The sequence below is a fragment of the Homo sapiens genome, chromosome 11 (assembly GCF_000001405.40).
Source record: "Homo sapiens chromosome 11, GRCh38.p14 Primary Assembly".
Classification (NCBI taxonomy): Eukaryota; Metazoa; Chordata; class Mammalia; order Primates; family Hominidae; genus Homo; species Homo sapiens.
The window spans coordinates 93,160,144-93,187,216 of NC_000011.10; the positions used below are offsets into that span (position 1 = coordinate 93,160,144).

Consider the following 27,073-nt stretch of genomic DNA (forward strand, 5'->3'; position numbering starts at 1 on the left):
GACAAGCAACTCTTCTCTTGTATTCCTCAGTTGTGACTATTATTTTAATTGTCCCACAACTGCAGAGTCCACACAGAAACAGACTATAGGCTGCATAGGGCATATCTCCACAGTGCAAAGGCATTAACCAATGCAAATTCTCTAAAGGGAAATATGTGTCTTGACTGGCTTTCCTGTTTTTTCCAGATTTTTGTTGTTTCTTAGGATACTTGTACTAGGGTTTCCTCTAATGAAAGGTGGTGTCTAGCTAGACTTCCTTGAATAGAAACTATGATCTAATGGTCCCTTTTAAATCAAGAGTCTCAACTAGTTCCATTCTAATTGGAAAGTCACAGCAATTAGGAATAAGGTCAGATGTAGAAAGGGGCTGTGGGAAAAGGGAAGGATTAATTGGAGCTACTGCAGGGACAGTGTCACCCTCCAAGATTGAGTTGTGAATACCAAAAGCATTCTGTCTTATTCTCGCCCACTATTTCTACACCACATTCTTATGTGCCTGGTAATACAAACCTTTCAATGTGAATGTGTGCACACTCCCACTTTGGAAACTTCCCCCCTAAAATATTCCTTACATGCTTTTGTAAATAAGACCGGGAAAGAATTTTGACATTATTTCCATGTACCTTTTACATTTGGCATTAAAAATAGTTGTCAATTTCTGAAATGATTATTTTTAAGACCTAGTCAAAATATTATTGTTATTATTAATATTATTGAGACAAAATGTCTCTCTGTTTCCCAGGCTGGAGTGCAGTGGTACCATCACAGCTCACTGTATAATCAACCTCCCAGGCTCAAGTGATCCTCCCACTCAGCCTCCCAAATAGCTGCAATTACAGACTTGTGCCACCATGCCTGGCTAATTTTTAAATTCTGTGTAGATTTGGAGTTTCACTATGTTATGCAGGCTAGTCTCAAACTTCTGGCCTCAAGTGATCCTCCCACCTTTTCCTCCCAAAGCACTGGGATTCCAGACATAAGCCACCATACCCGGCTCAAAATATTCTTCTAAATGAGGAAAAAATATCATTCTATTTTCCAAACATTGTACAGTATTTGAAAAGATGAACTTACTACCATATTTTTAGCTTGATTCTCTTATACTAAGCTGTTTAAGCTTGAAACCAAAAAGCACATTTGAAGGCAATAAAATTATATAATTAACTATAAAGAGTTAATAAAATAAATGCTAAATAACCATATATCTTATTTGTAATAATAACTCCACCTTGAAATATATTTGTAACATTTGAGACATGTTTCCATTTTGAAATACATTTATGTTAGCTGAAGTTAAATTGTAATTTAAAAATACAGACACACCACATGTATGCTCCTTGTGCAATGTGGAAACTATCCTAGGTCCATTTGCTCTGTCATAAATGGCTTCCTACAAACATTTGTCCTAGCAACATTTTTGACTCCAATAAATGCCCAGGATTCAAATGACTATTAAATGACAGACAAATTCTCACCAGGAGGCCAGTCAGAAGATATAATTTCTGCTGTTGTTGCTTTTTCACTAATATAGTAAGACATTTAAGATTACACAGATTTTTTTAATCCAAGTAGCTAAAGTAGTAGTGTGACAATAATTCAATCAGCGATTCCAAATTTATTCTTTGCGTATGTGAAAACTAAGGAGTTACCTTCCATCTTGTAAATAAGGAAGTAAGTCTGCATGGTAATCACTGCCACTATCTTTGAAAATTTTCCAAAGACAAACCTCTGGAAAAAGGAAAAATCATATACATATGATGCTTCATTTAGCAGGATATGGTCCCAATATGAAAGAGAACATTAAGATGATGCACCATTTTGTTTTATTATTTATAATGTGTCCCAACTGTGTTCTGAAAGGACTTGGAAAATATACACTATGAAGCTGACCAAAATAGCAAGGACCATAAATGATGTAATCTATTATTTTATTAGGAAGCGTGAGTGTTTGGCTTTTTTGGCAATAAGGACAAGTATTAATTTTTTTATTAAAACGTGTCCATATTAAAATAATCCCTGTTCTACTCTTATACTTGACTTGGATTTGGAAAAAACTCCAATTTTAAATATTTTTTTAAAAATCCCACAAGAACCCTAAGTTCATATTTGGTCTCCTACGAAGATTATGAAAAAATTCCAGATTGCACAAATAAATAAATCACAGTAATTTTTTTTTTGTTTTGAGACGGAGTTTCGCTCTTGTCACCCAGGCTGGATTGCAATGGTGTGATCTCAGCTCACTGCAACCTCCGCCTCCCGGGTTCAAGCGATTCTCCTGCCTCAGCCTCCTGAGTAGCTGGGATTATAGGCACCCGCCACCACGCCTGGCTAATTTTTGTATTTTTAGTACAGATGGGGTTTCATTATGTTGGCCAGGCTGGTCTTGAACTCCCGACCTCAGGTGATCCGCCCACCTCTGCCTCCCAAAGTGATGGGATTCCAGGAAATCACAGTAAAAATTTTAAATGTTTAAACCATAAATCCAAGAACACGACTTTATCATCAAACAGTGGTACATTATAAAATATATAAACTAATATTGACAAATTCATATACACCTACCATACATCTTGGGGAAGATTTAAAGTTATGCTGCCTTTGATTTCATCATGGAAACACATATATCCTAAAGTAGCTAATGTTACATACAAAGTTGTAACAATCCCCATGCCAATATTCAACGCTTGAGGGAAACGCTTTGATTCTTTCATTTGGTTTTCCAGTGGAAGGACCTAAGAAAAGAATACAATACTTTTTTTTAAGGGAATACAAGTATTTAAAAATAACAGTGTCTCTTATACATACAAATTGGTTGTTTATAGCCTATATGCAAATTTTTTTCCTTTAAAACACATATAATTGTTGAAGTACACTTCCATTGCTATATATTTATACTACCTATTTTAAACTTCTTAAAAAGATTTAAACTCATCTCTTGGCAGGCAAACCTGTTAGTTTTTTTTTTAAATAACCTTTTTATTTTGGGATAATTTTAGATTTACAGAAAAGTTACAAAGATAACACAGAGATCTCCCATATACCCCTCACCCAGTTTCTCCTACCATTAACTTTTTATATTACGATAGTACATTTGCGACAACTAAAAACCAATATTGGTACATCACTATTAACTAAACTGCAAATTTCATTTGGATTTCATTAGTTTTTCCATTAATATCCTTTTTCTGTCCCAGAGCTCCATCCAGGATACCCACAGTGCATTTTGTCACCATGCCTCCTGTCTGATCGTTTCTCAATCCTTGCTTGTTGTTCATTATCTTGCCAGTTTTAAGGAGTACTGGTTTGGTATTTTACATAAAACCCCTCCATTTAGGTTTTTCTGAGGTTTTTCTCATGACTGGACTGGTATTGTAGGTTTTAGAGAAGGATAACCTAGAGGTGAAGTGCCTGTCTCATCACACGTTATTAACATGGTTTATCACTGGTGAAGTTAATTTTCATCATTTGGTTAAGGTAGTGTTTGCCAGGTTTCTCTATTGTACAGTTACTTTTATTCCCTCTCATCATACTCTGTTTATTGAAAGCCAAGTCCCTAAATCCAGCTCCTTCTCTGGGGAGTAGGAGGGGGATTAGTTCTATCGCCTGGAGGGAGGAGGGTTTCTAGGATTCTCATGTATGTATGTATGTATGTATGTATGTATATTAGCATGACCCTATGTATTTTTTTTTAAATATTGAATTACAATCCAAAATTCTGTTATTTGTTTTGTTACTCATATTATTCCACTTTTGCCCATTGTAAATTCCATCAGGTTGGCTTCTGTGGTCCTTTGACTTGCCTCCATTCTTTTGTTTCTTGAACATATTCTTACCTTCTGACACTACAAGATGCTTTAGCCTCATCTTGCATTTCCTTGCTTCAGCCCTAAAATCAGCCATTTCTCCAAAGAACTTTGATTCTCTTGTAGAATGGTAATTAGAAATGAAGATCTGGTATTTGGAAATCAAGATCTGGGTGTGTGCTTGTTGATACTGGGGTATCACTACTTGCAGCCTCTCTCAGGAGACAGAACTAGGAAGTATATGCATGTATACTAACCCATGTATACTCACATACGTGTAACTGGTTTTACATCTACCCACCTGTATCTACTGTCTGTCAAATTCAGTAAAACTAATAATTTTTATTTTATTGAAAAAGAACCTTTAAAGAAAATAAGAAAAGGCTGACTGAAAAACCAAGTTTTTAAGGCAAATCTTCAGAGATTGTAACCATAAAATTAGGCCATACAGTCAAAGACCTAAGTAACAATAATAGCAAGTATTTACTGGAGTGTTTATGATATGCCAGGTATGATTCTAAAAGCTTTGCATGCAGCATTTTATGCAATCCTCACAATAACTCTATGAGATGATAAATCTAGTATTTTTTCCACTTTTCATATAAGTCAGTCAGTTCCATATGGAAACATGAACTGTTAATAGCAGCAAGAGGGCAGAGAACAGTTTGGATGCTATGGAGATAATCCAGAGCAGAAATACAGGCAGTGGCCAAGAATGGTGGCAGTGCAGCAAGGGAGAAAGAGAAAGAAATGAACATTTCCTGAGGCCTTCTGTGTCACGCAGCATTATAGGTGTTTTATGTATAGTCTCCTTTATGGAATGAATTTGAGAAATATAAAAGAAAAGTCAACATGCCTTAATTATTGATTGAAATAGAGAACCAAGGACAAAGTAAAAGGAATCACTCCAGTGTTTCAAGCTTAAGCAACTGAAGATAAAACAGAAAGAAAAAGGAAAATGAGAAAGTAAAGCTGGTTTTAGATGAGAAAATACATGTCAGACTTTGGAATTGTTGAATTTGAGATCCTAAGGAAATGTCAACAGTTAACTAGTGCTCATGAGTTAAAGACAAACATGAAAATCTGTAGTTACGTTTACAACAGCAATAATTGTAGCTGTGAAAATTTGTAAGAATTTGGGAGAATTATCTAAAGGAGAATTCACAGAGAGCAGAAACCCAAGTAAAATGTTATAAAATTTTATTTTAGATCTATTTTGTCTGGGGTTAGTATAAATAGATGTTTACAAATGGTTTTGCTCCCATACCAGATCATCAGACTATGAAACATAAACTATGGAGCAAAGCAGACAGCAAGATTCTATTTTCCCCAAGTCTACAAATGTTAGGCATTAAATAAACTGGGAGCTACCTGAATGGCAATATTTAATATCTTAGAATCCTCAGAATCTTTGGAGTCTCTCTTGGTATTAGCTTTATAACACTGTTTCTCAAAACAAACATTATATTCATAAAACTATAGGGAGAATTTACATCCAACTTTTTATATAGCAGTGATTCTGCAACTATTCTGATTACCTTCAGATAATCTCATCTATAAAATATGCTTCAGATGTGCCTGAGTATGTGGGATATAGATTTTTTTTAAACTGGCCTTGAGTTAATAATTTTTGAAGCCAGGTGATGTTTACATAGTTCATTATACTACTCTCTAAATTTTGTATAGGTTTGAAATTTTCCATAATAAAATGTTAAAAATGATCTGGCTAATTTCTTCATTTTATAGATAAATAAAAAGAGAAGTAGAGAGCCTAAGTGGTATGTCTAACATTAAGTTCTTTGTTAATGGAAGGACTAAACTATAATTCTAATCTATCACACCAAATTGGAAATCATGTAAAGAAAATTGAAATAAAAAAGAAAAATATGCAATTTTAAATACAGGTAGGCTATATAAATCATTGTGCTGAATTAAGATTTTAAAAAATAATAATAAAGACTAAATTCTTACCACTCCTATGCCTTCAAAAGCAAATACAGCAGTACCAAAAAAGAGTGGGTATTTCTTCCAACCAGCCACTATTGGAAGGTTGTGGGGATCTGGCATGTTCTAAAGAAAGGAAGAAAAAAAGAAGACCAGTTACATCTTTACTTATTCTAAATAATTAAAAAATGTAAGAAAAATCATATAATTTTGAGCTTCACAACAGCAAATGTGTTATAAAATTGAATAATTGTTTCAACAAACACTTAAAGCATCCTCTGTTAAATGTAGCCAAGCTGTTAGGATTTCACTGCCAAAAGCAATTGTTTCCCTCATGCCCATACATTCCATCTGAGCAAAATGCTCCTGATTACCTGCTTCCACCTGCAAGTCCCAGGCTGTGAACACTAGGTATGGCTCCTGCCACAACAGGAAATACATAAGCACACTCAAGGCCTAAGCTGAGAGCCATATAGTCAAGTTATCAACCACTGCTGCTGGTGCCTAGCAGAAATTCATTCTCCACTCTATTTTTATTGCTCTTTCAGTTCTCTAAGATACCTGGTTCCTGACACTGGCTTTCTACCTTATAGCTCTGCTGCTGCCCAAAACAGGTTTCCTTCTTGCTTCAGTGCTTACTATTTGATTTGATGGTTGTCATTACCCTTATTATTTGAATATATATGTCCTGACTCTGGCTTTGATTGCTTGGTCCTGACTCACAGGCTTATTCCAAATCTCACCATCCGGACAAAGTACACATTGGCTCTAAATGGCCACTTCTTCCAGATACCCCAAGTCTGGTCCCTACTCTTCTCACCATCTTACATTCTCTGCTTTGCCTGATTGGAAGCAGAATTCAAGGCCAAGTAAAAAGAATGAACAAAGCAACTGAAGTGTGAAAGCTCTAGGATAATTTGGGGAATAGAGAGATCTAGAATATCTGAAGCATAGATAGAACTGTGTGATATACTGGTGATACATGTCTAAAACCATATACTGGGTTTAGAATGAAAGGGTATTACAATGTTTGGCTCATTCAATGCTAAACTATTATTTAAGGCAAGCAGGATGCTATTTCACTTCTCCCAACAGCAGCTCACGCTGTTCCTTCTATTTTGGAAACCTCCTTTTCTGCTTAACTGACTCTTACATGTTTAGCTAAGGGGTCATGAACTCCGGAAAGCCTATATGAACTTCCTGTCTGTTTCCTCCCACTCAGTGCTATAAGAGAAACTACAACTTTTGAAAATCAAAGAGGAGGGAAATGAAACACAGATCCATAATAAGAATTTTTAATAAATTGCTAATGAAGATTTTACAACAATTACCTTGGAAATAATATATAAGATTAATTAGATCAGGAGTGACTAGAACAGGGATTCTCAACCTTTTTTGTGTCTTTGACACCTTTGCAAGATGAAAGCTATACAACTGCTCAACAGCAAAACACATACATACATACAGAAATACTAAATCTTGCAAACTATTTTAAGGGATTTGAAGAATCCCTGAATCCCATCAATAGATTATTTTATGGAAACTGGGTTAAGAATCCCCAGACTATGGACAATGAAATCAGTTGATGTTATTGCATATACTTCAGGTAAAGGGATTACAGACTAGTGTAGTGGCAGTGGACTGAAGCAGTGGCAGCAAATAAAAGTTCAGAAGTGAAAGGAAATTATGGAATTGCATATATATATATTAATGAGTACCTGGTTTCATGTTTGGCACTGTACTAAGAACACAATCCTAAGTCTCATAACTCTAATAGGGTAGGCATTACTATCTTCTGAAGCACTGTCACAAAGCCCAGAGGCGTTATTTACCAAGATTCAAGATCTGACCACAAAGCCTGTTTAATCTCTATGTCATATACTTTTCTAACTCAGCAGCATCCCCCTAAAAGAAACCAACATTTACTGATTGCACACTGTGTGCCACATATGAAGTAGGGGTCTTTGCATATCATTACTTTTACCTCCACAGTAAACAAAATTTTACTTACATAAGAAAGATAAGAACTTAGTTAAAAACTTTTTATACTTACCCTGACAACATACTGGTAAATTATCACAAGACTGACAGCCATGGAAACGTTGGCAAGGAATGAAAGTACAAATAGATTCTTTAGTTCACGAATGAAGACCAAAAGAATTATAAATGGAAGAAAGCAAAGCATATATATCCTTAGGTCAACACTTCTTCTCTCACAAGGGTTTGATGAATTGGTACTATTTGAAATAAACACTTTACTCTCCAGGAATCCTTCATGAACCTACATAGGATTACCAGGAGAATAAAGAAGGGGGAAAAACTTCCATCAACTTACAATCATAAAACACATGTACAAAGAAAATCACAACATATACACTCTACAATAAATTCCTATGATATATTTTAAAATATTTACATTTACATTTTTTCAAGATACTCTGGTTTCCTAGAAACATATGTATCAAATATAAGGATAACTGACGTAAGATAATCTTGAAAGGTAATTTCTTTTATCATACTGTAAATATAAAGTTCATTAGAAAATTATAATGATAGATTTGCTAATGTATTCTGAAGCTTTGTGACTATCATGCTCATGATACCTCCAAAGGCTCAAGTATCTCTTTTTGAGATCATCAAATTTGGAACCATGCTTGTACCTAGGATGGCCACTGAGTATTCTCCTCTAGCTTATTTTCTTCAGATAGGAAACAAGCTCCAATTATCTCTTAGAAATATAGTCAGAGCAAAATTTTAAAATTATAGCCTAACCTTAAAACTCTTATAAAGCAATTATTTATAAATTATCATCACTATCAATAAATATTTATTAAAAATCCACTACATTCATGCATGGCCATATGGTAGACAGTACATAAATTTTTGCTAGAGCAAAAACCTTCACAAGATAAATCAACCTTATATTAAAACTTATTCAGCCATTCCTATAACCCAATTTTCAGATTTCAAAACAAATATGATTTACAAATATGATTTACAGTCTCCATATATTAAAAACTATCTCTGATCCAATTAATCACATAACACTACTTACTAAAATAGAAATGAAATTATAGAGGACTTTAGAAACAGTCTTAAAAATTTATAGCAGATGCAGATAATACTATAACTAGAATACCAGTGAAAACTTATTTGCCCCAAAACAGTGTACCCTCCTTCAAACACATCAATATTGTCGAGTCTCTGGATACACACACTCTAAAAATTCTTAAGACCTTGTAATAATAATAGCTAGTGTTTTTTGAGTAATTTCTTTGTATCAGGTACTGAACTACATGCTTTATATACAACATCTCACTTAATCCTCAAAATGACTCTCTAAAGTAGATGGTAATATTAATCCCAATTTATAGTTGAGGAACCTGAGGCTTAGAGAAATATTTTTTTTAAATCTTGCGTAATATCAAGCCAGTAAGTGGTGGTTCTAGGATTCAAACCTAAGCCTGTGACTCTAGAATTAGCCTGACCAAAATACTGCAACCCAGAAAGGAGGGCCCTGCCCAAGCGGTCACCTGGCCTCCACTTTTACATATCTCTCTCTAAATGTAGTAATTAAGAGGCCAACAAATCAGAAGATTAAAACACATTTCTGAAATAACAATTTAAGTGTTTCTTCTACTTTAATCTTACATGTATAATCTACCATACACAATGTTTAGTGTCAGTATAAATGTACACATCATCTTAGACTGCAGAGAATATATCTATTAGATTTTTGCCCTATACAGGCAATTTATAACTCATACTGGACTAACAGACTCTCAAGTTGCACCATTTAAGAAATGCACAGCTCATGACTATGTTGTAACTGACCATCAAAACTTTACATTTTATTTTCTATAATTTGAAATAAAAACAAAATTGGGGATTTACATTCCTTGGTTTTTACAAACATATTTGATTGTTGATTTAACATTCTAGTAACTAAATTACTTAGAGCCAAATACTTCTTATGAAAGCAGTATCTCCAATAATTAGATTAGATAATGATCAAAGTAAAGCTCTAACAAGGATAACTGGCAAGAGAAAAGCAGTAATATAACCAATATTTTAAAGGGCTGTTTTAATTATTATTAGGTGCTTGGGAATTTAAAATTAATTCTATCACAAATATAGTATTTTAGCATTTTTGGCAGAAAAGTGGTTATAAAAATTCTGAGGATTAAAAAATAAAATAAAATAAAAATGTAGATACATACCTAGAGCAAGATTCAGGTAAACATTTGAGTCCTTTGGTGCCCTCTAGAGACAGAGATTGGCTATCTAATAGGACTTCCTACGATCTCACATGTTTACCAAAATGTAAAACACTGAAATAAACATTATAAAATAAAATTACTAAATTCAGTTGTTTCCATTTGAGCTCAAATTTACTAAAATCCACCACTTATTAACTTTTCAATGATTCTGTAATTTAACAATTAAAATTCCAACAGCAGATTATGTTCGTCAGTAAAGCCAAATGCAGAATTAAAGTTATAGTACCCTACATTTGTATCTTTTACATTTTACAAAGGCTTTCATAAACCTTTTGTCAGCTGAGCCTCACAATAAGTTTATGAGAAACAAGGGGATATTTTGTTACTATTCCCATTTTACAAATAAGGAAACTGATGCTAGACCAGGGATAAGGGGGGTTTGCCCAATGTGTGAGTTAAAACTGAGAAAGCAGAGATTTGAACTCCTATCTTCTGATTCTACAATCAATGATCTTTGATATTGCTACATTTTTTATTTGTAATACTGTATTCCTTCCCATTCTCCATGCCTACATACCACTATTTTATCTGCATGAGATTTTCTAGAGTATCTTAGAGTAAGAACAGAGAGGAACAACTGTAACCACTATGGACTAGACTTATCAGAAGCACTAGGATTCTTTATCCCCTACTGATTGTACATAAAGACTTAATGGGACCAAGAATAGTCATGTGGCAGTTACATAGCAGGTTTCTACATTTGTGTGGCAACTAAACCCTTAATTTTGGGGGTTAATAAGATACATTTCAATTTCATGTAGACTAAGGGGAGGGTAACAATCCTATGGTTTTTAACTATAACAGTAAATAGCAATTGGTAAGGTTTAATCAACTAGTGTGTCTACTATTGTATAATGCTATCAAATGTAAAAGAACACCTCTGTAGAGTGAAAATCTCTGATTGCATGCTGCTTCAGTGACCATCTCAACTACTTTCTCAAGCCTGACTGCCTTTTTTTTTTTCCATGTTACTCTTTATGATTCAAAAGGACTTTTACCTTTCTATCTACAGCAGGCATTCTCCTTACCTCCAGAGAATCACTTTTTCTACCTGATCTTCTTAGGACATGTGCAAAGTTAAACTTTTCCATTCAACCTCAGAAGCATCTGATAATATTTCATAGGAGAAAGTCACCAATTCTAAGCTTATAAGCATTTATTTTATCGACCTTATCTACTCTTTATGTCATACAAACACACTCACAACTAAAATCTGACAAGACAATGTCCCATGGGGTGATTAACAATTAACATATTGGAAGTGACAGAGATCTACGTTTCAACCTAATTCCATATGACTTAGGGCACACTACTCATGTTTTGTGAGACTGCGTTCTCATCCATAAAATGAGCATAGTACTTACTTTACAGAGTAGTTATAAACATTAAATAATGTATATCATGGTTTCTAAATATAAAATTATAAGGCATTATTAACATTATTCTTAAATTCAAATAGAGCTTGTAACTCCTTGAGAAGATAGGTATTCAAATAGATACAGTACTACCATGTTACACGACCCTAGAAAGGCATAATTTCCATCATATTATATATAAATAACTGGTAAGATGGTATGTCTTATCAGTTCTTGTTAATAAAAAGCCTCTTAATGGAGTTAGGAGTCCTAGGAATATGCAATTTGTAGAATTAAATATTTGTAAAATCAAAAGGACATCATCTATAACAAGTAATGCTAATGGAAGGACTGATGCTTTATTTTGATAAACAAAAGAATATAAACAGGACTCTAATTAACTCTAATTACTGTTACTCTTTTCTATGTCCTCTACATCTCCCATGGCTACTTGCTCTCGCTAAGACCTTTCACTCTATTCTGTAGTCACAGCACATATGAGGGAACACCTGTGTCTGATGGTTTACAGATTTTTCTGCCAGAAAATGTGTATAAGAACTTAATTATTTGCAAATATCTAGTAAAAGTTAGAAGAAATAGTTTAAAACTAGGATATTTTGAAAAAAATAATAAAATGAGGGTAGAAAGAAAAACTACAGGCTGGCTAAAACTGTCAGCAGTTACAACACTAATCTCTTGACACCATTCCCTTTTTTAAAAACATTTTATTATTTTATTTTTCCATAAATTATTGGGGTACAGGTGGTATTTAGTTACATGAGTAAGTTCTTTAGTGGTGATTTGTGAGATCCTGGTGCACCCATCAATGAAGCAGTATACACTGCACCATATTTGTTGTCTTTTATCCCTTGTCCCCTCCCACTCTTCCCCCCAAGTCCCCAAAGTCCACTGTATCATTCTTTTTTTTTTTTAATTATACTTTAAGTTTTAGGGTACATGTGCACATTGTGCAGCTTAGTTACATATTTATACATGTGCCATGCTGGTGCGCTGCACCCACTAACTCGTCATCTAGCATTAGGTATATCTCCCAATGCTATCCCTCCCCATCCCCCCACCCCACCACAGTCCCCAGAGTGTGATATTCCCCTTCCTGTGTCCATGTGATCTCATTGTTCAATTCCCACCTATGAGTGAGAATATGCGGTGTTTGGTTTTTTGTTCTTGCGATAGTTTACTGAGAATGATGATTTCCAATTTCATCCATGTCCCTACAAAGGACATGAACTCATCATTTTTTATGGCTGCATAGTATTCCATGGTGTATATGTGCCACATTTTCTTAATCCAGTCTATCATTGTTGGACATTTGGGTTGGTTCCAAGTCTTTGCTATTGTGAATAATGCTGCAATAAACATATGTGTGCATGTGTCTTTATAGCAGCATGATTTATAGTCCTTTGGGTATATACTCAGTAATGGGATGGCTGGGTCAAATGGTATTTCCAGTTCTAGATCCCTGAGGAATCGCCACACTGACTTCCACAATGGTTGAACTAGTTTACAGTCCCACCAACAGTGTAAAAGTGTTCCTATTTCTCCACATCCTCTCCAGCACCTGTTGTTTCCTGACTTTTTAATGATTGCCATTCTAACTGGTGTGAGATGGTATCTCATTGTGGTTTTGATTTGCATTTCTCTGATGGCCAGTGATGATGAGCATTTTTTCATGTGTTTTTTGGCTGCATAAATGTCTTCTTTTGAGAAGTGTCCGTTCATGTCCTTCGCCCACTTTTTGATGGGGTTGTTTGTTTTTTTCTTGTAAATTTGTTTGAGTTCATTGTAGATTCTGGATATCAGCCCTTTGTCAGATGAGTAGGTTGCGAAAATTTTCTCCCATTTTGTAGGTTGCCTGTTCACTCTGATGGTAGTTTCTTTTGCTGTGCAGAAGCTCTTTAGTTTAATTAGATCCCATTTGTCAATTTTGTCTTTTGTTGCCATTGCTTTTGGTGTTTTGGACATGAAGTCCTTGCACATGCCTATGTCCTGAACGGTAATGCCTAGGTTTTCTTCTAGGGTTTTTATGGTTTTAGGTCTAACGTTTGAATCTTTAATCCATCTTGAATTGATTTTTGTATAAGGTGTAAGGAAGGGATCCAGTTTCAGCTTTCTACATATGGCTAGCCAGTTTTCCCAGCACCATTTATTAAATAGGGAATCCTTTCCCCATTGCTTGTTTTTCTCAGGTTTGTCAAAGATCAGATAGTTGTAGGTATGCGGCATTATTTCTGAGGGCTCTGTTCTGTTCCATTGATCTATATCTCTGTTTTGGTACCAGTACCATGCTGTTTTGGTTACTGTAGCCTTGTAGTATAGTTTGAAGTCAGGTAGTGTGATGCCTCCAGCTTAGTTCTTTTGGCTTAGGATTGACTTGGCGATGCGGGCTCTTTTTTGGTTCCATATGAACTTTAAAGTAGTTTTTTCCAATTCTGTGAAGAAAGTCATTGGTAGCTTGATGGGGATGGCATTGAATCTGTAAATTACCTTGGGCAGTATAGCCATTTTCATGATATTGATTCTTCCTACCCATGAGCATGGAATGTTCTTCCATTTGTTTGTATCCTCTTTTATTTCATTGAGCAGTGGTTTGTAGTTCTCCTTGAAGAGGTCCTTCACATCCCTTGTAAGTTGGATTCCTAGGTATTTTATTCTCTTGGAAGCAATTGTGAATGGGAGTTCACTCATGATTTCGCTCTCTGTTTGTCTGTTGTTGGTGTATAAGAATGCTTGTGATTTTTGTACATTGATTTTGTATCCTGAGACTTTGCTGAAGTTGCTTATCAGCTTAAGGAGATTTTGGGCTGAGACAATGGGGTTTTCTCGATATACAGTCATGTCATCTGCAAACAGGGACAATTTGACTTCCTCTTTTCCTAATTGAATACCCTTTATTTCCTTCTCCTGCCTAATTGCCCTGGCCAGAACTTCCAACACTATGTTGAATAGGAGTGGTGAGAGAGGACATCCCTGTCTTGTGCCAGTTTTCAAAGGGAATGCTTCCAGTTTTTGCCCATTCAGTATGATGTTGGCTGTGGGTTTGTCATAGATAGCTCTTATTATTTTGAAATACGTCCCATCAATACCTAATTTATTGAGAGTTTTTAGCATGAAGGGTTGTTGAATTTTGTCAAAGGCTTTTTCTGCATCTATTGAGATAATCATGTGGTTTTTGTCTTTGGCTCTGTTTATATGCTGGATTACATTTATTGATTTGCATATATTGAACCAGCCTTGCATCCCAGGGTTGAAGCCCACTTGATCATGGTCGATAAGCTTTTTGATGTGCTGCTGGATTTGGTTTGCCAGTATTTTATGAGGATTTTTGCATCAATGTTCATCAAGGATATTGGTCTAAAATTCTCTTTTTTGGTTGTGTCTCTGCCCGGCTTTGGTATCGGAATGATGCTGGCCTCATAAAATGAGTTAGGGAGGATTCCCTCTTTTTCTATTGATTGGAATACTTTCAGAAGGAATGGTACCAGTTCCTCCTTGTACCTCTGGTAGAATTCGGCTGTGAATCCATCTGGTCCTGGACTCTTTTTGGTTGGTAAACTATTGATTATTGCTACAATTTCAGCTCCTGTTATTGGTCTATTCAGAGATTCAACTTCTTCCTGGTTTAGTCTTGGGAGAGTGTATGTGTCGAGGAATTTATCCATTTCTTCTAGATTTTCTAGTTTATTTGCGTAGAGGTGTTTGTAGTATTCTCTGATGGTAGTTTGTATTTCTGTGGGATCGGTGATGATATCCCCTTTATCATTTTTTATTGCGTCTATTTGATTCTTCTCTCTTTTTTTCTTTATTAGTCTTGCTAGCGGTCTATCAATTTTGTTGATCCTTTCAAAAAACCAGCTCCTGGATTCATTGATTTTTTGAAGGGTTTTTTGTGTCTCTATTTCCTTCAGTTCTGCTGTGATTTTAGTTATTTCTTGCCTTCTGCTAGCTTTTGAATGTGTTCGCTCTTGCTTTTCTAGTTCTTTTAATTGTGATGTTAGGGTGTCAATTTTGGATCTTTCCTGCTTTCTCTTGTGGGCATTTAGTGCTATACATTTCCCTCTACACACTGCTTTGAATGCGTCCCAGAGATTCTGGTATGTTGTGTCTTTGTTCTCGTTGGTTTCAAAGAACATCTTTATTTCTGCCTTCATTTCGTTATGTACCCAGTAGTCATTCAGGAGCAGGTTGTTCAGTTTCCATGTAGTTGAGCGGCTTTGAGTGAGATTCTTAATCCTGAGTTCTAGTTTGATTGCACTGTGGTCTGAGAGATAGTTTGTTATAATTTCTGTTCTTTTACATTTGCTGAGGAGAGCTTTACTTCCAACTATGTGGTCAATTTTGGAATAGGTGTGGTGTGGTGCTGAAAAAAATGTATATTCTGTTGATTTGGGGTGGAGAGTTCTGTAAATGTCTATTAGGTCCGCTTGGTGCAGAGCTGAGTTCAATTCCTGGGTATCCTTGTTGACTTTCTGTCTCGTTGATCTGTCTAATGTTGACAGTGGGGTGTTAAAGTCTCCCATTATTAATGTGTGGGAGTCTAAGTCTCTTTGTAGGTCACTCAGGACTTGCTTTATGAATCTGGGTGCTCCTGTATTGGGTGCATATATATTTAGGATAGTTAGCTCTTCTTGTTGAATTGATCCATTTACCACTATGTAATGGCCTTCTTTGTCTCTTTTGATCTTTGTTGGTTTAAAGTCTGTTTTATCAGAGACTAGGATTGCAACCCCTGCCTTTTTTTGTTTTCCATTTGCTTGGTAGATCTTCCTCCATCCTTTTATTTTGAGCCTATGTGTGTCTCTGCATGTGAGATGGGTTTCCTGAATACAGCACACTGATGGGTCCTGACTCTTTATCCAATTTGCCAGTCTATGTCTTTTAATTGGAGAATTTAGTCCATTTACATTTAAAGTTAATATTGTTATGTGTGAATTTGATCCTGTCATTATGATGTTAGCTGGTGATTTTGCTCATTAGTTGATGCAGTTTCTTCCTAGTCTCGATGGTCTTTACATTTTGGCATGATTTTGCAGCAGCTGGTACCGGTTGTTCCTTTCCATGTTTAGCGCTTCCTTCAGGAGCTCTTTTAGGGCAGGCCTGGTAGTGACAAAATCTCTCAGCATTTGCTTGTCTGTAAAGTATTTTATTTCTCCTTCACTTATGAAGCTTAGTTTGGCTGGATATGAAATTCTGGGTTGAAAATTCTTTTCTTTCAGAATGTTGAATATTGGACCCCACTCTCTTCTGGCTTGTGGAGTTTCTGCCGAGAGATCCACTGTTAAGTCTGATGGGCTTCCCTTTGCAGGTAACCTGACCTTTCTCTCTGGCTGCCCTTAATATGTTTTCCTTCATTTCAACTTTGGTGAATCTGACAATTTATGTGTCTTGGAGTTGCTCTTCTCGAGGTGTTACCTTTGTGGCGTTCTCTGTATTTCCTGAATTTGAATGTTGGCCTGTCTTGGTAGGTTGGGGAAGTTCTCCTGGATAATATCCTGAAGAGTGTTTTCCAAGTTGTCTCCATTCTCCCCAACACTTTCAGGTATACCAAATCAGACGTAGATTTGGTCTTTTCACATAGTTCCATATTTCTTGGAGGCTTTGTTCGTTTCTTTTTATTCTTTTTTCTCTAAACTTTTCACTTCATTTCATTCATTTGATCTTCAATCACTGATACCCTTTCTTCCACTTGATTGAATCAGCTACTGAAGCTTGTGAATGTGTCACGTAGTTCCCATGCCATGGTTTTCAGCTCCATCAGGTCATTTAAGGTCTTCTCTTCACTATTTATTCCAGTTAGCCATTTGTGTAATCTTTTTTCAAGGTTTTTAGCTTCTCTGCGAAGGGTTCGAACATCCTCCTTTAGCTTGAAGAAGTTTGTTACTACCGATCGTCTGAAGCCTTCTTCTCTCAACTCGTCAAAGTCATTCTCTGTCCAGCTTTGTTCCGTTGCTGGCGAGGAGCTGCGTTCCTTTGGCCTTTGAGGATGGTAACGTACAGATGGGGTTTTGGTGTGGATGTCCTTTCTGTTCGTTAGTTTTTCTTCTGACAGTCAGGACCCTCAGCTGCAGGTCTGTTGGAGTTTGCTGGAGGTCCACTCCAGATGCTGTTTGCCTGGGTATCACCAGCAAAGGCTGCAGAAGAGCTAATATTGCAGAACGGCAAACGTTCCTGCCTGATCCTTCCTCTGGAAGCTTCGTCTCAGAGGGGGACCCGGCTGTATGAGATATCAGTTGGCCCCTACTGGGAGGCGTCTCCCAGTTAGGCTACTCCGGGGTCAGGGACCCACATGAGGAGGCAGTCTGTCCGTTCTCAGATCTCAAACTCTGCACTCGGAGAACCACTATTCTATTCAAAGCTGTCAGAGAGGAATGTTTAAGTCTGCAGAAGTTTCTGCTGCCTTTTGTTTAGCTATGCCCTGCCCCCAGAGGTGGAGTCTACAGAGGCAGACAGGCCTCCTTGAGCTGCGGTGGGCTCCACCCAGTTCGAGCTTCCCGGCCACTTTGTTTACCTACTCAAGCCTCAGCAATGGCGGACGCCCCTCCACCAGCCTCGCTGCCGCCTTGCAGTTCGATCTCAGACTGCTGTGCTAGTGAGCACTGCTAGCTCACTGTGCTAGCAGTGAGCGAGGCTTTGTTGGCGTGGGACCCTCTGAGCCAGCGCAGGATATAATCTCTTGGTGTGCCATTTGCTAAGACCGTTGGAAAAGCGCATTATTAGGGTGGGAGTGTCCCAATTTTCCAGGTACCATCTGTCATGGCTTCCCTTGGCTAGGAAAGGGAATTCCCCAACCCCTTGTGCTTCCCTGGTGAGATGATGCCCTGCCCTGCTTTGGCTCACACTCCATGGGCTGCACCCACTGTCCAACAAGCCCCAGTGAGATGAACCCAGTACCTCAGTTGGAAATGCAAAAATCACCCGTCTTCTGTGTCGCTCAAGCTTGGAGCTGTAGACTGGCGCTGTTCCTATTGGTCATCTTGGAACCGGCGAGTAGTTTAATTTTTTTTTGCAGCTTTTGTAAAAGGAAAAGGGGTTAAGTTCTTGATTTGATTCTCCACTTGGTCACTGTTGGTGTATAAGAGCTACTCATTTGTGTACATTAATCTTGTATCCAGAAACTTTGCTGAATTATTTTATCAGTCACGGGACATACTGTAATGTAATAAAAGCCATCTATGACAAACCCACAGCCAACATAATACTGAATGGGGAAAAGTTTAAAGCATTCCCTCTGAGAACTGGAGCAAGACAAGGATGCCCACTCTCACCACTCCTCTTCAACATAGTACTGGAAGTCCTAGCCAGAGCAATCAGACAAGAGAAAGAAATAAAGGGCATCCAAATTGGTAAAGAGGAAGTCAAACTGTCCCTGTTTGTTGATGATATGTTTACCTTCAAAACCCTAAGGTTACCATTCCTTTTATAGAGATAGGAAAACAGCTGTGAAGTGAGAAACCAAGCTAAAACAATCATGTAGGGGCTGAAAGAGAAGAGTTCACAGAGAAAATGGGAAAAATGGGTGTTTGCACAGGATGGGAGCAAGGAAAGTGGCAGAGACCATCAATACGGAAATCAAACAAAAGGATTAAACCCTTTCAGTCCAGAAAGTTTTACTGACACTTGTGCTATCAACCAGGTACAGTACTAGGTCTGAGAAATAAAGACATGAAAAAGGTATAATCTCTCCCAGTCCAGTGAGTTCATTTTCCTTCAGAGCCAATAACCATACTGGGTACTGATAAGCCAGACACTCTTAGATGCTAGTTTACGGTGATGAACACAAGAGATATGGGAGTCCCTTCCTTCATAAGGCTTGCTGTCTAGTGGTGAAAAATAACTTGTAGATTAACTTCAGTACAGCATGATCAAGGCTATTTTAAAAAGTTATACAGAAGCCAGGACAAAAACCAATAAATTCTGGCTAGAGATAAAGAAAAGGAAGACATGGAAGGAACAGTTAAGAAAGGTTTCACAGAACAGGTGACATTTAAGTTTCCAGACATTTAAGGTTCCAGATATAAACAAAACTTTTCTAGATGCTGAGACATGGTACACTGGAAAAAAAACTGACCAGAAATCCAAGCCCTAATTCCTAACTAGCTATGAACTCTTTTATAAAAGAGAGTTTGACTCAATGACTTCTTCCAATACTAAAAATCTAAGTGAATGGCTCAAATATAGCATACAGGGATAGTCTAAATCAGGGGTTAAAAAACTATGGTCTGCAGACCACCTATTTTTGCAAATAAAATTTTACCTAAATACAGCCATATCTATTTGTTTACATATTGTTGCCTATGGCTGAACTCAGTAGTTACAACAGAGACCATATGGCCTGCAAAGCAGAAAATACTTATTAACTGGCCCTCTACAGAAACAGTTTGCCAATTCTCAGTGAAATGAAGCATAGTCTATACTTAGAAAAGAGACTCAAATACACAAATGCACAAGAACCTACACACAGGTTCTTTAGAAAACATACACACTCCATCATTTTGCATAAAAATATCTACAAGACAATCCTATATATTACTATGTAAAATGTTTACTGTACCATGGACATGTGGATAATTAATAAATATTATTGATTAAAATAATGATTAAAGAAGAGCAGGGGATAATGTAGGAATAATGATACCAGTCATAAAAGTGCTTTATAGTATTGTTTTGATGGAGGGATTTTTTATTTCATTGCTTTCCATATTTGTCCAAATACACTGTCAATCTCTTCCAAGACTGCAAACCACTTCTTCTTAAAGCAAACCTTCATAATATGAGAAAGTTTCTCAAAAAACTACAGAAAACTGTTCATTTTTGGACACAGTGTCTTTTTACACAATGGCTATAATTACCAGATTTTAATAATGAATGCTCACTATTTTTACTTGATTTTTTAGCCTACTGGCTAAAGCCTTATATAGTTCTTTAAACAATGTCAATGTAAAGAATATGCTTCCAAAGCATCTATGTATATGCTTTTGAGATCTAAGTTTCAAGTAGCTAAGAATCAGTAAATTATGTCATATTCTGATCTGAAAAAACAAGCATTATCAGTATTATAGCAAAACAGTGAAATCAACAATTACAGCAGAAATCCAACTTGCAAGAAAAAAGACTAAAGGAAAATTTATAAAGGAAGATCATTTATGAAAGGAACACATTTTCAAATTCAACTGTGGCTTCCACAGAAGATATATGAAGCCATAACTAGGGCTTTAGAAGAAAATGATTTCACTAACTGGAGAAAAATACTCACTTGTTTCACATTTTCAGCTAAGAAGACAATATAAACACTACAGAATCCCAGCTGTGTTATCACCAGAAAAAAGTCAACCACACTCCTGAAAAAAGATATCCACAAATGAGTATCCAGGAGAGCTACTGAAATGTCAATATATTTTATTTCTCTTTTCAAGAGTTTTAAAACATTTTATTATAGCATATATTCTCCTACTCAGTATGTCAGGAACTCAGAGCAGTTCATGCCAAATCTAACTTCCTGAAAATCTCCAGAAAGGCCACACTTAACTATAAACTACTCTACTAACACTGTTCTTCTTTTAATTCCCATCTCACATGTCATCTTTACAACAGGTAGCACTTTGCTGACTGCTTATGCTTCCTTATTTTTCTAGTCCTGTATTCATCTTACTTTGATTTGCCAGAGCCACCAATAATAAAGTTACATTTAAGTAACAAGACAATAAAATAAGGTTATGCTAAAATATAGCCATACCTCAGATAAGCATACAAATACTACAAATTTATTTGAAATAATGAGACTGCAACATTTTTCTTGTTTTCCTTTATTTAAAAAATTAATGAACACGATTATGTCATCATTTGACCAGGTCATGCTTTATAAATATCATTTTACTTCATCTACCATAATGATCCTGTGAAATGGGTATTACTGTAAACTCATTTCATACTGAGAAAAACAAACCACAATGATAAATAATTTGATCAAGGTCAGAAAGCTGAAAAATGGTCAAGTTGAGATTAGAATCTAAGTCTGTTTAACTCTAAGGGTTACATATGTTTATTCCCCAACTTTATCATATTTTTATTTATATATATTGTTAGGTTAAAATACTTAAAATTAACATAATTTTAACAATCATATATTAATAACAGAGTAAGTACTTACCGCCCCCATGCTGCTTGCTTCTGAAGACAACTCCAAGGACTCACTTCCATAGCAAAGCTCACAGTGTCACTATAACCTAATGTTGACTTTTTAAACCTGTAATTTAATGACATACATACAAAGGAAAAAAGAAAAATTTTAAGGTGGTCCATAAAACCACCTCTTGAAATAAACATAAAATAAATGGGAATTAATAAATGCAAGGCTATGAACTGACAAATGAGTTACCAAAATGTCAAGATCTGCATACTTCTAAAGCATGCCTCATAAAGTTTTAAATGTTTAAATCTGTCCTTTTTACCAGTACATTAATTTTATCTACTGCTAAAGTTTATGTAAGTGCAGAACTCATGTAACTTAATATTTGTACTTTATTAATTTAAATATTTCAAATGCCTAAAACATCAACTACATTATTCATGTCTAAATTATTCCATTCTTAGAACAGCATTATTTAATAATACATCTGTGCAAGGCTGCACAATACATTTTCACATAAACTATCTCATTTAATCTTCCCATGAGGTAGGTATTATTTCTCCATTCTCTCTTTTTTTTTCCCAAGTATACATTGTTCTATAAAGCTCATAAATGATTTGCCCAAAGTTTTAAGAGTATATAACAACAACAAAAAAGAGTCAAGACTTGATATTAGGCTACTAGAATACATATGGTCTACTGTCCAGTAGAAGTATTTCATGATACAAAAATAAAGACAAATAATATTGTGTTGTTGACTATCTACTAACTCATACATCAGCAGAGAGCACCAAAGGCATTATAATCAAAACAGAATTACTAACACATTGAAGACTATTATGCTATAGCTAAAAATCACACCACTGTCTCCATTGCCTCTATATATCTTTTCTAATTTTTTCCATTTATACTAAGAGAAACCATACTATTTCACTAATAAGGCTACCTTTTAAAAATAAATAGATTCCAACCAGATTTAAATTATATGAAATGCTACCTTCTTCCATATTCATTACCTTAGATTTATCTACGTAAAAGCTTAAACGAAATACAAAGCACAGTAGAATATAAGACTATCTGATGCTGTAAATAAAAGATAGCTTTAAAATAAATAGGCTTAACAAATCCACATTTACCTCAGACATAGAAAGTGACTGCAACGTACCAATATGTGCATACAGTGAACAGAAATAATTCCTATAAACACAAGGCTGATTGGTCCAAGCTGTGGGGAAAAAAAATTTATAAGGTTTAAATATTTAACAGAAATTGAGTAATCTTATAAGCAATGAATCAATGGATTATTCACGTGCAGTGAATAAATATTTGTTGAGCAAAATGATTAGTCATTGCATAAGGGAAAACTAATAAACTTGATGCAGAAGGAATTTCGAGTAATATTTAAGACAACCATGTATAATTCCATCTTATTAACATAGCTACTCAAACCTACGAATATGGAGTATAGACAACAAAGTAGGATAGAACACAAGATCATATTTAACATCAGATGGCAAGTCTACAACTATCAGTGACCCACCATTATAATTATATGCAACCATGCATCATTATCTAAATCCCGAAAACGCACAATATCAAACGGAGACTGTGAGCAATTTATTTCTTCTACAGACTGCTTCTTGGGTACTTACTATGTGTCAGAAACCATGCTTATAAAATAATTATTTCAAAAAGTAGTAAATAAAATACTTTAAATATTTATTTACTAAAATTAAAGCAATGCTAGTAATTACCCAGATACAACCAAAATATTGCCAAAGTTTATTTTTATAATCAAAAGTTTTTATCATCTAAATTAGGGGAACAAAACAGTCAAATGCAGGGATAGTTAAAACTGTTTTTAGAAAGTGGTCTATTCAAAAAAGTTAAATATTATTTTATTACCTCATAAATGGGTTTCTCCCCTATCAAGGTTCTCTGCAATTATAATAATTACAATAACTGCCTCTAACAATGCTTTACATATTGGTTTTTAAAAGTTATTGTTATTACTTTTCTTTTATTTATTTATTTATTTTTTTTTTTGAGACAGAGTCTTGCTCTGTCGCCCAGGCTGGAGTGCAGTGGCGCAATCTCAGCTCAATGCAAACTCCACCTCCTGGGTTCACGCCATTCTCCTGCCTCAGCCTCCCGAGTAGCTGGGACTACAGGCATCCGCCACCACGCCCGGCTAATTTTTTGCATTTTTTAGTAGAGACGGGGTTTCACCGTGTTAGCCAGGATGGTCTCAATCTCCTGACCTCGTGATCTGCCCACCTCGGCCTCCCAGAGTGCTGGGATTACAGGCATGGGCTACCGCACCCGGCCAACTTTTCTTAACTGTTATTTAAATTCTGAAAACTGTATATTTGACTCTAAAAAAACTATACAATGTCACGTTACCAATAATCTGCTCTATAAATATATTTGTTGCTGTGATTACACTGCTAAATTCAATTCCTGAAAATCTAAAATAATAATAAGATATAACTATACCTGGAAAAATCAAAGACTGTTTTAGGTTTGTGGCTTTTTTTTGGCTAAATATTACAAATAAGTAATGAAGTAGAAATGAATAAAGTAATTATTATTTTTTGTTAAATATCATTATCACAGTTGACACAATTTTATCAAGACAACATCTAAATGATCATCTAAATGTCACCTTACCAGGTTATATTTGACTAGGCCAGATATTAGGTTGCTATAAATGAGACTGAGAACTGCATCTTAACTGGTGATTACAAAGATAAGTCTTACCACTATGCCTGCATTTTTTATTGCCAATGGAAGTCCTAAAAGGCCAGTTCCAATATTTCCTTTAAGAAGGTGCATAAGAGTTTGTACAAATCTGAAAAGTAAAAGTTGTAAGACTTAAATATTTTAGAACAAAATCTATTATAACATGATCATGGTTTTAGTACTAGAAGGGAACTGAAAATTAATCTAGGCAAGGAACCAAATAACATTTCCATCCCACCACTGGGCCAGAAGTCATACTTGGTTCAAGTCCTATCTTTGCTAATTAAAAGTGGAATAACAAGAGTTATTGTGGATATTAAATGACATAGTTAAGTGAAATATCCGCCAAACAAGATACTAAAAAATTAAATTAAAAAAGACTAAAGGCATTCTCTTTACAGTGTGGTTTTGTACACAGTGAAGCAATAAATTTTTTTTAAAAAGTAATTTTCTCATAAGATATTTTGCTGTTATGATTTTCAAAGCAATGTTGAGTATTTGGTTGGTAACACAGCAATGTATTGACACTACCTATGTAACCATGATACTAAACACATTTGATCTATCATTGTCAACCTAAGAAGTTAATTTAAAAAAAATACAAGTTTTAAAACTATATGAATCAACAGGTAAGATAAACACGAATCAATTTTTAGATACTATGAATTCTGTAAGGGATTTGACCTAAGAGTAGTTTTCAGAAGCATGTGAAGGAAGTATCTTCATCAGGAAGAAATAAGTTGAAATGAAAATGAAGAGCAAAAAGTGTAAACTTAAGAAACAAAAATGTTTACCTAAATATTTTTTCAGTTTATATTCTTCTTTTCTGATCAATTGCATATTACTTTGCTGAACCATTAAACTATTATTAGAATGAGAAGTTACTCAAATCTATTAACGATGACAAAATGTCAAAAAAGGTTTTCAAAAGTTACAATGCATTTCTACCTCCACGACTTTGTTTCAGTATAAAGAAGCATGTACTACCTCCTGATCATTTCAGACATCACTTCTCTTAACATTCCTGTTCCACTTAATCAGATCTCCCTTCTTTCAAGATCCCTAGCATTTGTTACGCATCATCACTCCAGTAATTCCTATACACTGCTCTGTGATTTAAACGCATTTCTTTCCCAAATAGACTATAAACTCATTGAAGGTGGAGACTATGTCTTATATTTGTGTCTTGTAATGTAATAGAATGTCTTGCCTGTAGAAGAAGATTACAAAATACATACTGAATTAAAAGAAAAGGAGACTTATAAACCATAACACTTACGAAATGCCCTCTTGATCATCAAGTTGGTAATGCTTCTGAACAGGCAGAAGCTCTTGCTCATGTTCTTCATCTGATGTCCCATCAAAATTCTGCTCATTTATCAAGGGCCTCATTACATCCATATCTTTAAAAAAGAAAAACAAAGTACTTCACTATTGCTTAAAAAAGTTGGATAAAGCTGGTATAAATGAATTTCAAAATATTAGGAAACACCATTTGTACTCATCTTTACTATTTCCATCCTAAGTTAGTTCATACTAATACCCTGAGTTTTAGTACATTTAAAAAGAAACAACTAAATTTATTTGCTGGATATTCTGTTTGGAATATGCAGTGCAAGGTGAAAGCTTAAATATTAAATGCAAAACTTTTTCTGCTTTATCCACAAGAGGTTTATAGTAAATGATCATAGAATTACACCATGAGAAATGTAAAGAAATGATCAAATATATTTTCATCGCTGCTTAGCTTCAAATCATACTGTACAGGTAAATAGTAATCACGTTTTTAAATACTTGATGAAAATTACAAAGTGATTCCAATATTTAAAATTTCAGTATCAAAATTTGCCCTTTACCACTTTATCAGTGTGTATTTCCTGAGAACAAGGATATTCTCTTAAATATTCATATTATCAAATTCAGGTTAACATTGATGCAATACTCTATTTAATCTACATTCCATATTCCACTTTCATCAGTTATACCAATAAATTCCTCTTAGCAATTTTTTCCTCCGTCCAGGATTATATATTGCATTTAATTGAGTTGTTCTAGTGGTTTCTTTGCCATTATATTTTTTATGATGCCTTTAATCATCTTTTTTTCTTACTTAATTTTTTACTATCTTGTTTGACTGTTTTAAGTGGTACTCTCTGACTTCTACCTATTACCTATACAACAATTAATAATTTAATTCTAGTTTTTCCTGTCTCTGTTCCTTAGTTTCTCATGTTTAGTTGTATTCTTTCTACTTTGACAATACATATGATGTTTTTCATACTGTCCTTCAAATTATGTCTCTACTCATTTCTTAGACATGTATCTACAATCAATATCAATATCCACTATCAGTTCTCTGCCAAAGTTTCCTCAATCTTCCCTTGGCTGGAAGAAGTACATCTTCTTAAAAGGTATGCATCAGAATGGCCTGCAGGGCTTGCTAAAACACACAATAATGGACTCCATCCCAAAGTTTCCCACTCAGTAAGTCTGGGGTGGGCCTGAAAATATGCATTTCTAACAAGTTCCCCAGTGCTGCTGATGTTGCTGGTCTGGGGACCACACTTTGAGGACCACTGCTCTAACTGATTCCTCAGGAGGGTCTCATGGGCACAGTGTTCCCTGAGTTTTTACACGTTTCACACTGTTTTTCTTTATAGCCTGGATACTTGAGGAACAACTAGATATAAAATCCTTGGCTCACACTTTCATTCCTCGAGTTTCTTGAAAATGCTGTTCCACTTTTGCCTTGCTTTTATATGCTACTTTTGAGAAATCTGATGGCAGACTAATTTTCTCAGCCAT

The 27,073-nt window shown here is 35.4% G+C and overlaps 1 protein-coding gene across 5 annotated transcripts in view; it reads right to left on the reverse strand.

The window, feature by feature from the left end:
• The window catches only part of SLC36A4 (solute carrier family 36 member 4), a 53,818-nt gene that overhangs the window by 15,970 nt on the left and 10,775 nt on the right, over window positions 1-27,073 (reverse strand). For 3 of the 5 annotated variants that reach the window (NM_152313.4, XM_047426350.1, XM_047426352.1), the window contains exons 2-9: window positions 25,548-25,671; window positions 24,287-24,377; window positions 22,663-22,751; window positions 21,548-21,643; window positions 20,654-20,738; window positions 7,801-8,028; window positions 5,775-5,873; window positions 2,563-2,732 (exon numbers count right to left, since the gene is read on the reverse strand). In NM_152313.4, coding sequence (NP_689526.2) covers window positions 2,563-2,732; window positions 5,775-5,873; window positions 7,801-8,028; window positions 20,654-20,738; window positions 21,548-21,643; window positions 22,663-22,751; window positions 24,287-24,377; window positions 25,548-25,671 — 982 coding nt within the window. Of the gene's footprint in view, window positions 1-2,562; window positions 2,733-5,774; window positions 5,874-7,800; window positions 8,029-20,653; window positions 20,739-21,547; window positions 21,644-22,662; window positions 22,752-24,286; window positions 24,378-25,547; window positions 25,672-27,073 lie in introns of those variants that run through there. The other 2 variants (NM_001286139.2, XM_047426351.1) reach the window with 2 other exon arrangements.